Source organism: Homo sapiens, chromosome X, assembly GCF_000001405.40.
Source record: "Homo sapiens chromosome X, GRCh38.p14 Primary Assembly".
Taxonomy (NCBI): domain Eukaryota; kingdom Metazoa; phylum Chordata; class Mammalia; order Primates; family Hominidae; genus Homo; species Homo sapiens.
The window spans coordinates 36,289,947-36,308,332 of record NC_000023.11 but is presented as its reverse complement, the minus strand read 5'-3'; the positions used below and the strand labels follow the sequence as shown (position 1 = coordinate 36,308,332).

Below are 18,386 nucleotides of genomic sequence, written 5' to 3'. Positions count from 1 at the left end.
TCATGGCTGAATCCTTATAGATTTGCTACAAGTTGGAAGGAGATACTCAGAGTGACTGAAATTAACCATCAGTGTTCAACTGACTCATAGAAGGTTTGAATTGATAATATTTTCTTGTTTGAGCCTTTTTGTGTTTGATAAAGAATTTAACATTCAACTTCTAGGCTAGGAATTTTTAAAGCTATTAAGATACAGAACTGATTATCTCCCTGCTGAGTTCTAAGACTGCCCTTGAATAGATATGCTTTCCACCAGAAATGCAAGCAAAAAAATTGCCCCCAATAATTATGATGAAGGGGTTCTAATCCTGCTATGCAGCAATCGCTTAAAAGAACAGCTTTGTTAAAATTACTTGTCTGAAAGAAAATAATCTCCATTATATATTTCCTTCTGTATGAGAAGGATCACTGTTTGTCTCCTTTAATATTTTTGAAAAAGAAGCATATTTCTATAGCATTTGTCTCAGGTAAAGTGTTAGTTAGTCATTACCATATTTAGACAAGTTAACAGCCTCAAAACAAATTTTCTAAAAATAAATTACAAATTTTTTGGAAATGAAGATACTTCAGCTACCCATAGGCCCTGTACTGACATGGAGACGCCTGTATTATATTTGATTCCACTGCCCCTCAGATGTCAGGGTTTTGTAAGCTCCTTGATGTCTTCTAAGATATAAAGTACATTCCTCCATTTGCATTCCTCCCCATGAACATTTGAAGAAGTAAAAATAATATAAATGGTAAAATTTTACATAAAATTTTAATTGGTAGTAAGAGAGTTAACAATCACTTGGCTAACTAAGTAGCTGTGAAAAGTAGACATGAAGATGAGTTGAAACCAGATTATCCTGGATTCAGGTCACACCTCAACCTTTTACTGGCTGCCTGATTTTAATTTCTCTGTGTCTCAGATTCCTGATGCATAAAGTAGGATTGATAACAGTACTTCCATTATAGGACTACGGTGAGAATGAATTGGGATAATTCTTAGAATGATATGGGACATATTTAGAGATTGTCAAAAGCGAAAAACTATTGTTTTTAAAAATTAATATTTAGGAACACTGTTCAGATGAAATGCAGTGGAAAAAATAACAAATATTTACAAATTGCACTCTATATTTTATATTTAAGTTTATGGAAAGTTGAGTAGTAAAACTCAAGTCAGAAAATTAACATAAATGCCAGTGATTTGATATGTACATTGAAATATCTGTGTTTTAAATCTGGGTATATATTTGTCTTTATTCCACTGATCTATGTATTTAAAAATACCTTCTTCAGATGTCTGCATGTACATAATGCATATTTTATTTTACAAAAATCATTTAATTAACTTATAATTAACTTGTTTTACTTGCAAAATATGATAATTGAGTGAATGATGAATTATATTTATTTATATATTGATTTAAAATTTAATTAACTTGGTTTGGTCCAAGAATACTCTATCATACCTGAGTACAGTAGAAGTTGATGCAAGCTTGATGATCAGCTCTTCCAAGTGCAGAAGGATAAAAGAGAACAGGTAATTCTGTGGTGGAGTGAGGAGATATGATCAGCTGTGTAAATGGAAAAAGCAAAGGGGGAACAAAAATTAATACCCAATTGGCTTGAGTTGGTATCTTTGTGTACTAGCTATATGCAGGGTCGATGTTTGTGTGATTAATGTGTTGTCTTGCACACATTATCTGTTCTCAGTATGCCTGCTCCTTGAATATTGTTCAAAGGGCCCATGTTAAACCGTGTTTGGGGGTGATCACATCATGTTCTTATCCAAGATAATCACCACTTGGAGGACTCATTCTGTACAAGGAAGTCAGGGTTAATTTTTAAAGCTCAGTTCGAACCTTCAATAAAAGACATATACACTTTATGTAAGATCCCATAGCATATTGCCCATCCCAAGGTACATGTCAAACCACCTGTAACTTAATTTGTTACTTTTGTTCATTTCAAAAGAAATGAACTGTTTCTAAGCAAAGGTGTAAGACATGCTTCTTTAATGTGCAAGGAAATTTTCCTCTTCCTCCTACACATTCAAGGTGTGACCTGCTAGGATAACTTGAGTCTGTACAGTATTAGTTTAAGTTACTTCTTTAGAGACTGTGAAAGAAGCCAGTGACTCCAACACAATATAATAAGGGCTTGAGTATATTATGTAATCAAAATGCTACACTGGAAATAATTTAATTTGAAGATAAACACTTACAAAATGATAGCATGAGTGGCACATGTATGAAAAGGAAGTCTATTATTTTACACTAATATATTTTGCCAGAAAAACTTTGAAAAGGCAAAATTACAATTAAGCAGTATCTTTCAATCCTTCTTGAATACAGCAGTTGATGCCCAATAAACTGTGATAATTATTTATGAAATGCAAATGCAAACTAAATTTTATATTTAGAACACAGTCACCTGTTTATTACACAATTGTAGCTTATCTACATCTAATATTTTTATCTCAGGCTGGCTTGCTCTCTGATATCTTGAATGTTTCAGGATTATCAGTTAATATACACTTTAGGATTATTAATTAATTTCACTGTCAGACTTAGCAAAAATAATAAGTAAAATTGCATTTTATATAGTCTTTCAACTTAGAAAATTTGGAAAAATAGTTTATTCTCTCCATGGATATAAATAGATGGATATTTCTCTCTATATATTTTTCATTTATTATCATTATAATTAATGTGTGCTCCTATTTGTTTTCTAAAATGTGATAGTATTTTTCTCATAAATAGCTTTTTGAGTTGTTTTCTAATATTAGAGTTAATTGCATATTCAGTGCTCAATAATGTTTGATAAATGAATAGAAGAATTAATGGACTAGAAAGCCATGGTTGGAAATGTTAAAACAGAGTTTATATTCTTGATTATGTAATGTAACTTTGGATGTGCAAAATATTACATTTATTTTCCCTTGGACCACAGATTAGACTGTTCTCTAAAAGTAGAGATATAAAGGATACAAAAACACCACTTTCTAATGAGGAATTTCAGTAATATATAAATTATATCCTGAATATCAGACTTCATATAATTTATGGAAAAATGTGGTATTGAATGATATAATAATGTGTGTACACTTTAATATACGCTTTCTAAGATTAAAGCATATACACCAATTTTAGCAATATAGTAATTAGTGATTTCTAATTTGACATATTATGATAGCTAAGAACTACTTTTATATCATTACATAAGTTGGCAACCAGTAACTGACAAGAGACAGATGTTAAGATATAAATAAAGAAATCAAAGTGTAGATTTGTTAAACAATCGTTAAACAACAAATAGTAAAAGCCTTTATTTAAATACTATATCTACTAGCAGGGCTTCATGATTTACTTTGAAGTCCCTTGATAAAAACAGTCTATTGTAATTATCATTTTGATGGTTACCTGAAAGTATGACACTCACTGCAAATAAATGGTGTCCTATGCTTTAGAAACAGAGATAGTCATGCTAAACCTTAGGATCTTATTTTGTAACTTGCAGGAAGGAGAAGAGTGATTTAGTATCATTGACTGGACCTAGCCTCTGCCAGGATCTAAGAATGAGAAAGTTGGGCAGAGAAAGAAGCAGAGAGGGCTAGAGTTGTCAGCATTGTCTCAAAGTGTGTGTCTGTGTCAGGGGTGAGGAATGGGGGATGGGCAAGAACTCAGGAAAGGCTAGAAAACAACTGGTCCCTTGGAACCCTGGCAACATATAATGACAATAGAGTTAATAATCATAATACTGGAAACTATTACAAAAACCGATTACTAAAATGGTGAGAAAGAAAACGCAACCAATTTATTAGAATGAAGTAATCATGAGCATGATTCTAGCATATATAATTTTAAAAATTTATATTAACATGATATTGTTTTGTAGATAAATTAAAATTCAAGGGGAGAAGTATATAAAAGAAAATCCTTTTTTTTTTTTTTGATTACTTTTGGAGACAGAGTCTCGTTCTATCGTCCAGGATGGAGGGCAGTGGCACGATCTCAGCTCACTGCAACCGCTGCAACCTGGGTTCAAGTGATTCTCATTCCTCAGCCTCCCGAGTAGCTGGGATTTCAGGCACGTGACACCACGTCTGGCTAATTTTTGTATTTTTAGTAGAGACGGGGTTTTGCCATGTTGGGCAGGCTGGTCTCAAACTCCTGGCCTCAAGTGATCTGCCCGCCTCAGCCTCCCAAAGTGCTGGGATTACAGGCATGAGCCACCCCGCTGGGCCTATAAAATTCAATTCTTAAATTTTAGAAATTTAAATCCTTAGTAATAATTCAAGTGATAATACTCCACCAGTGTCCCAAAATCAGAATTGGAAAATGATCTAGCAGCAGTAAATTTCATGGCTCTCTGAATTTACTTACTTGTGATTTTCTGTTAATATCCAGGACAAAATTTTCAGGATTACTGTTTGTTACTTGCAATTTTAAGGTTTCATGCGTACAATTAACTAAAGGAATGATCTGAGTGACATGCCTAGGAGAAAAAAAAAGCTAGTAAAGTTGCTGGTATTCATAAACTTATTTAGTGTTAATTCCATAAACTTGATGACCCCTAGGATTAAAATATGTCACCCCATAAGATATATTGAAGTCTTAATTCCTAGTACTTCAGAATGTGATATTATCTGGAAATAGAGTCACTGCATATGTAACTAGTTAAGATAACGTCTTACTGGAATAAGACAGGCCCTTAATCCAGTATGACTGGTGTCTTTGTAAATAGAATCATGTGAAGATACACAGAAGATGGCCATATAACAGTGGAAGTAGAGATTAGAGTGATGTATCTCAAGTCACAGAAAGCCAAACGTTGCTGGCAAGCAGAAGAAGCTAAAAAAGACCAGGCACAGTGGCTCATGCCTGTAATCCCAATGCTTTGGGAAGCTGAGTCTGGAGGGTCACTTGAGGCCAGGAGTTTAAGACAAGCCTGAGCAATACAGTAAGAACCTGTCTCTACAAAAAATTTAAAAAATAGCCAGGCATGGTAGCTTGCCTGTAGTCCTACATACTTGGGAGGCTGAGGCAGGAGGATCGCTCTAGCCCAGGTGTTTGAGGCTGCAGTGAGCCATGATTGCACCACTGCGCTCCAGCCTCAGTGACAGAGCAAGACCCTGTCTCTAAAACATAGAAAAAAAGAAGAAGAAGAAGTAGAAGCTAAAAGAGGCAAGGAATTATCCCTTACAGGTTTCAGAAGGAGCATGGTCATGGTGAACCCTTGATTTTAAACTTCTAGCCTCAGAACTGTGAGACAATACATTTTTGTGGTCTTAAGCCACCCAGTTTATGATGCCTGTAATGGCAACCCTAGGAAGCTAATATAATGACTTCTTTTAGTTTCAAACTCAAAATAATTATGTATGAACTAATGACATTTTAATCCTTGGTTCTCTATTTTTGAGACCTAATGTTATCCCATATTAGATATTAGAATATATTCCAGTTTTAGGAATAATGTTTACTTATTGTTTTATAATGCTAAATCCAGCCAAAAAAGCTAACACAGTCTAGTCGTAATAACAGAGTAATAAATGCACGAAGTTTTCATTGAGAACATTAACAAGATCCAAATTGATGATGAGTAAATGCCCAAAATATGTGACTATTTATGCTCTAAACAAATAATAAATGAGTGTTCATAATTCTCAACTATCAATTCTAATGGTTTTTAATGTACAGCATCCAGCTTGTCATCTTCATTCTTTCTGTAAAGTATAACATAATAACATAATTTTATCTATGTACAGTTTTTCATATCTCTTTACTGTTTCTTGCTTACAATATAGAGTAAGATTAAAATATTTAGGTAGCAAATCTGTAATAAAAAGAATGGAATCATCACCATACATATATTGTTTTTCACAATGTCATGGCCTTGTGACAGAGGAAAATTAGGTAATATGTGCTGAGCAGAATTCAGTTCATAAATTCAAATTATATAATTCAAATAAAGCACCATTTTCTTGTTTTTATATAAAGTATATGTATAAAATGATTCACCTTAAAAAGAACATTATATGTCAGTTTTGTGATTCTAGACTACAAATTTAACAAGTCTCTGTAAATCATGAATTTGTTCTTTCACCAGGGACATATGAAGAAATTCAATGAAAATAACCAAAACTTCATTAATTATAGTGAATAAAATACACTAAAAATCATGACAGATTTCCCATCATTTTTTGGTAAGCATCTGCTTCGTATATTACCAATTTCCCAAGTTTTCTCATAAACAATACCTTAGAAAAATAGGAATAAAATATTTTCATACTAGATATCTATGCTACTGTAAGAAAAAAATTTCAAATGTCATTGTTTTGGCTAAAGAGCTGGTACTGGAAGAATGCAACACTCTTTTGATGTGATAAGGGAGAGAAATTAGTTAAAAGGCACTAATTTGCTCACTACGGTGTATACTCTTTAAAAGTAGGGATTATGCCTTGTTTACCCCTATTTACCAGCACCAAACTTGATAAATAGTAGGAACTCAACTACCTAAATAGGAATGGTCATATCTCAAGGGATCACGGCATTAACCCACTGACCAAATGTTCACAGTTGTTCATTGCTTACCTCTGCTTCACCTTGAGGAAAGTTTGCCAGGTTTCTCTCCTTCCCACCAGCCCCTGAACTCTGCTTGTCCCTAAGCCTAAACAAGCATGCAGACACACAAAGTAACATGACCCTTTGTCAGCTTCTCCTGGGAATTAGCTGACCACAGTAAAACTCTTCCTGTTAGACATCACTGGCCATTTTCCCTTGCTTGTCCAGCTTTCCCTCCAAAGATTCTGTCTATATCTGCTTGACCTTCCTTTACTTTATAAAAGATGAACTTTTTTCTGTTTGATTTTGTAAACCCTTGTAGACTTCTAAGATGGGAGTCTTTCCCTATTGCAATGGTCCCTTTTTATCCCTTGTAATAATCCTTTTGAATAACACTCTTTCCTTGCTAAGTCCTGATTTGTTTTTATTTGACAAGTTTTCCACAGGGTAGTTTACATATCAAACCTTCCCTAGGGGAAAAAAAATCAATGACTAAAGATATATTTATTCTTTATTTTAGAAACTGAATGCATTATAACAACATTGTAATAGATTAACTATTTTTCTTGCAAGCAATAACTTTATCTATTAAGTAGAACTTACTTGCCAAGGTCGCACTGTATTTCTGGCATTGTGGTTGGTTTTGGTAATTCAATAGTTAACTTCAGTAAATACCAGAACTCTTCAGCCATTTCAGGCTGAAAAATAATGCTGGTGGAGAGAAATACACAAAATTTTGTCAGCAGTTTTAGTTTGTGTAATAAATTGGGCAGAAGTAGTATACCCCAAACTAGTATAAATAGTTGGTTTTAAATACAACATTTGACAACTACTCTGTAACACATACTACTCTTTTTGTAGATGTATTTTTAATTCTTCATTTTTGGTTGAGAAAATCACTTCATTATTCAAGAAAAGCAGTGTTGTTGTCATTAATATCTGTTTAATAAATGCCTGTTGGATCAATAAAAATGTTTAAACATGAGTATTTTAAATATCTTGCAGAAGGTGGAACAGTAAAAGCCCTGCTTTTTAACTGTGACTAAGTCAAATTTAGTTTTAGTTGAATGCATGTGCATTTTCATGTGAATGCTATCAAGTGACATATAGCTCTAGAGAACTTCCTTTATGATCAGCACATCCTCAACTCCCAGGGAAGCAGAGCTTGTGACAGTCTAAACAAGTATAACTGGGGACCGGACGTGGTGGCTCATGCCTGTAATCCCAGCACTTTGGGAGGCCGAGGCAGGCGGATCACGAGGTCAGGAGTTCGAGACCAGCCTGGCCAATATGGTGGAACCCCCGTCTCCATTAAAACACAGAAAATTAGCTGGGTGTAGTGGCGGTCACCTGTAATCCCGGCTATTTGGGAGGCTGAGGCAGGAGAATCGCTTGAATCTGGGAGGCAGAGGTTGCAGTGAGCTGAGATCACGCCACTGCACTCTAGCGTGGGTGACAGAGTGAGACTCTGTCTCAAAAAAAAAAAAATAAGTATAACTGGGATGGTATCTCAGCTCTGTCATCTTTTATTTGTGCAGTCTTGAAAAAGTCACTTAACTTTTTGAGCTTCAATTTTCTCATTTATAAAATAGGAGGAATCAATCTTACCTCTTACAGTTACTATGAGAATTTTATGTTTATATATGTAAAATACACGCCCCAATGATGATAACAGAGTAGGCAGACAGTAAGTATTAGCCAAAAATTTTTTTAATGTATGCTGATAAAGAAAATTCAAGATTCAGTATATGTTCACAAAGCTTGTGCAGTCATATTGGGGCAAAAAGACCAGCCCATATTTCTAATAATAATTTTTTCAGAATAGTATCTTTCATGTTATATTCTTATTTTCATGCTTCGCAGAATAATAATTTTTGTCCTTTAAAATTTCACAGATGTATTCATTTATTTACTGACTCATTAAAATAACAATTACTGGTTTCTATTGTAGGATACTGTACTTGAAGCACCAATAAGAGTTATTCTGAAGGATGTTACATTAAATAAAATATGCCAGGCACAGAAAGACAAATTTCACTTATATGCAGAATTTTTAAAAATTGAACTCAGAAGCAGAAAGTATAATGATTATTGTTACCAGGCGCTGGGAGGTGGAGGGGACACAAACTTTGGGGAGAGACTGGTCAATGGATGCAAAATTTCAGTTAGCAGAAATAAGTTCAAGATATGTATTGTAGGACATTATGACTGTAATTAATTACTTTAATTCCTTTATGTCCTCCAAGTGAATTATTTGTATTTAAGAAGAAAAATATATAAGTTAATTTTCCTCAAGAAAATTGAAAGTTTAATCCCTAGTCCTCATGCAACTGTTTTCATTTGTTCAGTTTTTGCATCCATAAAGATTTACTTAGTAAAAAGTGAAGTGAAAGGGGATAAAAGGAGAAATGTAGAAATTATTTAATTTGATATTCTGATAAATACTATTTTTGCACTGAAGCAAGCAAAAGCTAACTGTAAGTCAGTACATTTTTTCAGGGACTAGTATTAAACAAAGTTAAAACTATGAGCAAGTGTAATTTTAATGATTATAGTATAAGAAAAAATAAATTTTAAAGGTTAATTTCTAAGGATCAACAATGAAATATAATGCCACACTCAAACCATACCTTTCATCGCTGTAGCCTGTAGTTGCTGGAGAATACCATACAATATATTTGGTGCACTGTAGTGGACTCAGGATAATTTCATTATCCCCATTAAGGGCAGCACTCGTTAACTGCACCTCTAAGTGAAGACCTCTATCTTTTGGATTAGAGAGAGGTATTTCAATGCAAGTGCTGTCCTAGAATTATACAACAAATATGTAATCAACTTTTAGTGTCAGCATGGAGTCATTATACTATGAAAGGAAATGTAAAGGAAATTATTACATAATATAAGGCCATTTGTTTTATTTTTTTACCTTGATACACTATTGAATATATCTCACTAGCTTTGAATCTCTTATATGTTTTCTTTCATTAGCCTTGATAAATTGTAACCTTATTTTTTTTCAACAGCAAATACCACACAGAGATCCATGTAACTAAATGGATGAAAACTATTTGTAAAATTACATTTAAAATATATTTTTCACTGGTATCATTATTTCTATGAGGTCCATTTTTCAGTGTTTACTCTAGGAATGGTACTCAAACTTTATTGCACATAAGAATCACCAGCAGAGTCTGCTAAAAGACAGATTTTTTTTTCTTTTATTATTATACTTTAAGTTTTAGGGTACATGTGCACATTGTGCAGGTTAGTTACATATGTATACATGTGCCACGCTGGTGCGCTGCACCCACTAACTCGTCATCTAGCATTAGGTATATTTCCCAATGCTATCCCTCCCCCCTCCCCCCACCCCACAACAGTCCCCAGAGTGTGATATTCCCCTTCCTGTGTCCATGTGATCTCATTGTTCCATTCCCACCTATGAGTGAGAACATGCGGTGTTTGGTTTTTTGTTCTTGCGATAGTTTACTGAGAATGATGATTTCCAATTTCATCCATGTCCCTACAAAGGACATGAACTCATCGTTTTTTATGGCTGCATAGTATTCCATGGTGTATATGTGCCACATTTTCTTAATCCAGTCTATCATTGTTGGACATTTGGGTTGGTTCCAAGTCTTTGCTATTGTGAATAGTGCCGCAATAAACATACATGTGCATGTGTCTTTATAGCAGCATGATTTATAGTCCTTTGGGTATATACCCAGTAATGGGATGGCTGGGTCAAATGGTATTTCTAGTTCTAGATCCCTGAGGAATCGCCACACTGACTTCCACAATGGTTGGACTAGTTTACAGTCCCACCAACAGTGTAAAAGACAGATTTTTATCCACCTCTCCCCGACAGCCTTTCTTCATCCCAGAGATTCAGTAGCTCTGGGATGGGGTCTGAAATTTATATTTCTAAAAAGTTTCCACATGATGCTGCTGCTGCTGCTGATCCAAAGGAAACACTTAAAGTAGCAACGTATCTTAGCATCAAGTAGCAGGGACAATCTAAACTAAAAAGTCAAATTATGTTGATGATACATCTTTCTGTTTAGATTTCTTCCTTCTGTTCTTGTTCGTCCTGTCCTTCCCCCAAGGTACATTGTCTTAGCCCTGGAAGGCACTCTTTAAGTTCTAAGATATTTCCTGATCCTCATACTGACCCATCCTGGCTAATGACTTATAAAGCATCCCATTTCAGCCATGATCTCCACTACGTCAAAAGCTATAATTGAAGCAAATGTAGTAAAGATAATTAGTAGACAGGACACATCTCAATTTTAACAAATTCCAGTTGCCTAAATGTTTTAACCTAAAGAAATGGAGAAGGTTGAGCATTTCAATTATAAATCAAAGCTTGGTAATAAACGTACTTTAGAACATGGAGCTGTTATGAAATTTATCAAATCATGTTACAGGGGTGACAAAAAATTCTTACTAAGCTTCTGGGAACATATCTTCAAGGCAGATATTACAGCTTTGTCTATGGCTGTTTCAGAGGACATAGCTCAGAATATTTGCCTGATCACCTCTAATAAATAAATGAGTTGGAAGGATGCTACATTTTAGAGGAATGGAAACAACATTTAGTGTGGTGAACAACATCTGGTGAAGAAAGATGGAAACTAAGAATATATACAAATTAACAATTAGATTAGAGCAGATATCACTTATTAGAAATCAGTGTTGATTATAAATGCAATGAAAAATAGTCTTCTACAATGGTTTCAGGAGACATTAGAATTATGAATTCTTAAAATAAGTGGGCATTTAAACTTCTACAGCAAAATATTCAACGCTTATAATTATAAAGAAGGAAAAATAAAAGTGTAAAATGTAAAATACTGAACAGTGACTAATTTCCTGGGTAACCTGGCATATTTTATAAAGTTGATAGAGGACTTGGCCACTAAATAATTTCCAATGGTCAAAAATAACAACCACTAGAAAAAAGGGTATGCCAAGGTAACACATACTATCAACCCAATATGAGCCTAGAGATTTTACTCAGGGCATAAGACAGAAGATGGAAATGACACATTTGGCCTAGACATTTGTCCTGGTCTACTACTCAGACATTATTCAGAGAAGATCAGTGTCCGTTCAACAGAATGTTATAGCCTGTCATAGAAGTAAAAATGCTAGAATCTAAACCACTGAGTTTCAAAATGTTTTAACCACAACCCACAATAATTTGTTTTATATCACAATATGGTTCACATACGCATATCACAAAAGTTTTACAAAACAATCCCTGCATTTACCACATGTAATATTTTCTGATACTTTCTACTACCTTTTATTCTATTCTATTTCCCACTCACATGTTGAGCCACTCACATGTTGTGACCTACACATTAAATTTAGATTTAGATTCTGGTCTAAAGAGGAATAAATATTGGAATATAGAACTACTTGAAGTCTTATTACATATATAAGTCTTGAAAACAAAATGAAACAAAATCACATTAAACCTACTATTTTCTCTGTAAACTACAACCTATCTAACAAGACCATGCTCTCGTGGTACAAAAGTGTCATAATATTCTACAGTTGGCCAGATCTTAAGAGTGGGAGATACGGATGGTGTCTATGGAGTACTTAAATCACAGCTCCTCCTTGGCATCCTTGCAATATCCATGGCAAATACTATTAACTGATCATTTCACTCTTATTCAGTAGATCTGGACACATCCTCAAAATCCTTTACAGAGCAGCCTTCCAGAGAGCAATTGTTGAATGCTTAGCGCTACCAGTACTGCAATCTCTTGAAAATCTCTGGAATCAAATTATTCAGAGTTTTGAAAATAGCAAGACTCAATAGAAATAAATGTTTCACTATAGTCAAAAGCTTTAAGTTTCTAATTAACTGTACTATATTTCTAGGATGGTAGAAAGTATCTCAAATGTAACTATAATATTACAAAAATGATTTCTAAATTACATTATTGTTTGGATATTATTTTCTTCTAGGTTTAAACAGAAAAAAATCTTAAATGACACCTTTAACATAATGAATAATTTGTATTTTAAATATCCACCTGCCAAAATATCTTCAAAATTTTAGGGAAGATTACTTTTCTAAATATCAATATTTCTTAAGGTTGTAAAATTACATTTTTAAAGTATTTGATATGTTCACTAAGTTAAAGAGAAGAAACTTATGTTATCCATCATTTTATAAGACGATCAAAATTGATGTTTATTCTTGAAACAACTTTCTTAGGTTAGCTATATGATTACAGAAATGCATAACCATTTTGAGAAAATAACATACAAAATAAAACATTAAGATTATATTTAAAACAAGATTAATTGTTTTGGCTAAGTTATCCTGCCACCTCCCATTCCATTTTATTTTATAAAGAACTCTTACTAAATGAGAAGTACACAGTCCACTGAATTCTGTGAATACGCTATAAAAACGTTTGAAATACTTGGTTGGTGTCTGTTTTGCAAATGGCATATTCCTCCACTTTCATGAGTAGGCTTTTAAAGTTAATTTGTGTTCAGAATTAAACATAAATCAGTTTTGACTGATTTTTTCTTGAAACTCAAGTAAAACAGTAATGGCTGAACATTACATGATGACTTCTAAAGCCTTCTTTCATCTTCACATGCGCTCTTTTCGGTTTAATGATGGAAAGCATTATTTTATAAGGTATCCCAATATTTTTTCTGGCTGGTACTTAGAAATATTGTGGCAAACATAATGGCTGTTTAAAGAAATTGCTTCCATTTCTCAGACTCCTTTACAAGAGGACTAAACAATGCATATTTAATCCCGTGAAATACAAGCAAAAATTTTAAAACAGAAAAGACATTCACAAGATGCTGAAATTGAAAATAATTAAAACATTTAACCACTCATGTAGAAGAGGAATACTCTTTTAAAATATATAAAAACAGTTGTATTGAATTTTGCAAATTATAAAGCTTTTCAGAGGAAGTTTGAATACCTACACACTTTTAAAACAAATATTAGATATTTTCAGCATTTATATATATATTTATACACATACATATTTATTTATTTTTTATTTTCATTTTTATTTTATTTTTTAGATGGAGTCTCACTCTGTCGCCCAGGCTGGAGTGCAGTGGCATGATCTCGGCTCACTGCAAGCTCCGCCTCCTGGGTTCAGGCCATTCTCCTGCCTCAGCCTCCCGAGTAGCTGGGACTACAGGCGCCTGCCACCATGCCTGGCTAATTTTTTTTGTATTTTTAGTAGAGACGGGGTTTCACCGTGTTAGCCAGGATGGTCTCGACCTCCTGACCTCCTGATCGGCCTGCCTCGGTCTCCCAAACTGCTGGCTCCCAGTGCCAGAAGAGTCTAATTTTGAGGTATTTATAGAAATCTCAAATCAATCAACACTTTCTTCTCACATGGCAATTGAAGTCTTCTCCTGATTCTTTCTGGCACCTCATCCTCACCCTCAGGCCTGTCTGGGAATTTTGCACACTGCCTGTGAGGAAGGAGGTAAACATGTCCTGCTCTTTTCAACCCTCTGCTCCAGCTTCCTCTCTTATGATCATGGTGCTGACGTGGCTGGCTCTTTCAGGTTGCAGGATGAAATGAGATGACAGGTAGAAGAACAATACCCACTTACTTAATTGGTGCTACCTGATCTTATCCAGGTGACTATATAAGTTCCTTTTGCCTTCTTCTATCTTGAATTACCCTCATGTAGACTCTCCTGGAGTCTTCTCACCCTAGAAGAATGTTTCTTGCTCTGGGTCCTTTCAAATAAGCTCAAGCTTAGCCTTATTTCATTATGTCAAATTCACTTTGGCCCACTACATCTTGACTTGTGCCGATGAAAGTGCATCTTGCTCTCACTCTAACCACCTTCCCTCCCTCTGTGGTCCATTCTGTTGGTAGGAACTCACCAAGAGCCAGGGGCATTAAACTATCAGCTTCCCCTCCTTAAAGAAGACACTCCCACTGTCTTTTTGTTCTGGCCATCACAGATATGAGCTGTAAATGGGTGATGGGCTAAAGATTCCTCCCCTCCCTTGATGTGCCAGAAACATCATGTCTCCATTAAAATCCTATGTTCTCCTTTCTTGGCATGAAGATGTCACTTGGCAGTGGCTGTCCAACTAGAGATTCCATTTCCCAGACCCTCTTTCACCTGGGCATGGCTGTGTCACTAGTTTTCTCCAATTGTATGTGAGTGAAAGTGATGTGTCACCTGTGTGTCAAGGCCATTAAAACTATTGGAAATTCTCTTCTCTCTGCTTTCTTTTTCTCCAGCTATACGTAGGAACCTCTGAGTCCCTAAAAAGGAAGGAATCACAAGATGGAACGAGCCTTGCTCCCTGAATCACAACACAGAGTATGCCACCCACCAACCAGGGACACATTCACTAGAATGTTACAATTGTTAAAAACTTTTACTGTGTTTAGCCATTGCAAATTTAGGGTTTATTTGCTGTATCAGCTAGATATACTCTGAATACTATATTTAGAGAGTCTTAAATAAACAGGACAGCAACCACTTTCATAATATGGAAATATAATTATCTACAGTTCCCAGGTTTGTGACTTCATTTGAAAATCCAGGATAAAAGGAGAACTTCCCAGGAAACATCCTATTTCAGTTATTTTATTCGTTTTCTAACTCCACTAGAATGGTAGCTCCATGCAAATAGGGGCCTTGCTTGTATTGTTCATCACTGTTCCTTAGCATCTAGAACAGTGGCAGGAATATCAGAGATACCCAGTAAATACTCATTAGAAAATAAAATGTGCAATTTATGAGATGATTTAGTGTTTGTGTATATGTATATACATATTATACATTATATATTATGTATTACATATTGTACATTACATATTACATATTATATATAATTATTGATATGTCTGATATTTTGGATAATCACAACTTTTAACTAAATAATAAAGCAACTTTGTAAAAATCTAACTCAAAAGGAATTTAAAAGTCTCCAGTTAATTCAGCCTGCCTCCTTACTTGAAAGTTACAGGGTGAAGACAGCAGTTTCAGATGAGAGAAAGACTTTATTGCCTTATCACTTTGTCACTTGGTTGCCAGTTCATACCTACTCTAAGAGGAAAAATGTAATTCACTGAGTGCAATAAACACTTCATCATTTCCTGCTTGGTCAGAATAAATAAAGATTATTTACTTCCACATAACCACTTAATTGAGTCAATGACAATTCAATATGCACTAGCATGAAGTATTTTCACCATACCATCTCACGGAAGATAATCACAAGTTCATTATAAAAGGATTATTTCTGAGGAGAAAACATACAATAATATTAAGTAAGGCATATTATTGAGGAAATCTTCAATTTTAATTTTATTCAATTTGAAAACATTATCAAGTCAGTAAACAAACAACTAATGGGTATTTTGAAAGTATCATGTAATTGAGAGGAAGTGATCATTATAATCTGGGTCAATAATTTTCCTAAATTGAAAAGTCAGAACTCACATAAACCACGTAGACAGCTATATTTAGAAACACCATCGTCATTCCTTTGCTATTTCCATCTGTACAACACTGTATCTAATGATGTCATGCCTTATACCCACCCCAATCCCCAATCCTCCACCATATGACTTGAAATGTATAGAATGCTGAGATGCAATCAAGGTGGTTTGCTAATGCCAGACTGGGGGACATGTATGTTGAAGATGCATTAATAGGCACCTGGGAGTTGTGAAAAAGCCAGAAAACACTGGAAGAGCCTAAAGTTTATTAATTTGTATTCAGACACACCCCATAACCTTGAGAGAGAAAAGAAAACTATTAAAAATAGAAATATTTCTAATTGCAAGGACCGATCCCTAGGAAGTAACCTCCTGCTTAACTGTTTAAGATAGTATTCCACCTCCCCCGCCGTATATGTGTGTATGTACTCTCTATGTATTTATTCTCTACGTATATATATGTAAGTATACATATATATGTATATGCATGTGTGTGAATTATTAAAATGCTAACTCTGAATGACCATGTAGGCCAGCCATTTTGAAGAGTGTTTGTCACGAGTTAAGCAAACAGTGCTTAGATACATTACACATAATTTAATAATCGTGGGGTATGGGGTACCCCAGGGGGTAATTCTTGACACAGTGAGTGGGTATTTGCCATGTTTTTTTTTTTTTGCATGTCAGGTGTTTGAACTTGCATAAATGAATCCAATGTCATGTTCAGTCAATTCTTCTTCATCTGCATTTACGGAAGAAGGCAGAGGCATGAATAGTTCATAATGACAGAGTAGCCAAAAATTGTTTTATTTTGGAATGTTTTGTGAACTTTAATTGAAATAATGGTCTTTCAGATAGCTGTGATGTTGATTTCAACTAATTAATATACTCCTGACTTAAAGACCTACACGAGAAGGAAGGACAATTATAATTTTCTTACCTGACTTATTCCTTTCTATCCCCTAAACACTACTTCACTCAGAAATACAGAGATATCTCAAAACAATTATAATTTTTCATCTCAAAATTTCCAAGGTACAATATGAGTTTTAGAACAACTTCTTAACTCATTATGTAAAATTTGAACTTGCCCACAAAATCACAAATTAGATTGTTTCCATCAGAGCTAATGCTAGCTTTTCCTCATCAGGTACAATAGGCTGATAGTTTGCCATATTAACCCAGGTCGCCTCACTCCATTACCTTCACCTAATTTCCAATGCTAAAGCTTTCTAAGCTCACTGCACACTGGGTGGGGTTGCTATACCCTGAATGCAAGGAAAAGAAAGTTCATCTATTTTTTCCAACATACTCTTGTTTTAGATATTTTATTTTATTTTGTTTTGATTCTATTGTTCTGATACAAACCATAGTTTTTGGAGAAAATCTGCCTAGCCAGTGTTAATAACCAATAAAGAATAAATTCAGTTTTCCTCAGCTGGTGGTGGCGACAGACAGAAAACACACACTTTACTCAAGACTTAAACTTCCTCCTAAATTCCTGTCCTATCTCAGCTACTTTAGTGACTTTTCACTGGAATTTAGAAAGCCTTAAGGATGTTCTGCTGTGTCCTTTAGGGGCTACATGAAATTTGATGGGGAGAGCCCCTTGATATTCAATGACTAGCCAGTAAGACTTTTATATTGCTGATGTCAGGACAAGATGGTAAGGACCAAATTCCCTCCATCTCTGAACTTGGAGTCAGGATGCCCTCTAAGTTTCCTTTTAACCCCTCCATAACACCCAGGAGAACGGAGCATGAGAACACTGAGAAGGAGTTGAATCTGACCTGAGAGGAAACTGAAGCTGACTGAGTTTACCAGAAAGTAAAGACAAACCTAAGTTCAGCTTCTAAAATCAGCTGTTTATCACACTCTCTGTTTTTAAGAGTAAATAGCTAAATCTCTATTTCCATGTCATTTCTGCAAATCACACTGGTTAACATCGTATCTAACCAGAACAGCATTGTTGGTAATTATGAACAAAGAGTGTCAGTAGAATTCATTATGACTACCTAGATACTCTGTAAATACAGGTCAGCATTCTTGCTTTAACTTGGAATAAACATTTCCTGAAAAGCTTTGTTTGTTGAAAATTCTTATACAGAGTCATTACTGGAAAAGTTGTATGTGTGAAAACTAGAAAAGGAATCAGCCTTCAGAGCACAGAGCTTGGCCAGCATAGATGACTTTGATGAAAAAATAAAAAGAACTAAGGTGCGGGGGCGAGGGGCGGGGAGGAGGAAGAGAAGAGGGAGGGAGGAAGAGAGGGTGTGGAGGGAGAATGGGACGACTGGGGGAGACTGAGAGAGAAAGAGAGAATAAAGGCACCCTTCCTTTTGGCAGAGCACCTTATTTGG

The 18,386-nt window shown here is 34.9% G+C and overlaps 1 protein-coding gene across 2 annotated transcripts in view; it reads right to left on the bottom strand.

Annotated features, from left to right (window-relative positions):
- Positions 1 to 18,386, bottom strand: part of CFAP47 (cilia and flagella associated protein 47) — a 465,584-nt gene that overhangs the window by 76,985 nt on the left and 370,213 nt on the right. The window contains exons 52-55 of one of the 2 annotated variants that reach the window (NM_001304548.2): positions 9,181 to 9,356; positions 7,154 to 7,261; positions 4,373 to 4,484; positions 1,457 to 1,561 (exon numbers count right to left, since the gene is read on the bottom strand). In NM_001304548.2, the coding sequence (NP_001291477.1) occupies positions 1,457 to 1,561; positions 4,373 to 4,484; positions 7,154 to 7,261; positions 9,181 to 9,356 (501 nt within the window). Of the gene's footprint in view, positions 1 to 1,456; positions 1,562 to 4,372; positions 4,485 to 7,153; positions 7,262 to 9,180; positions 9,357 to 18,386 lie in introns of those variants that run through there. The other variant, XM_017029452.2, reaches the window with a different exon arrangement.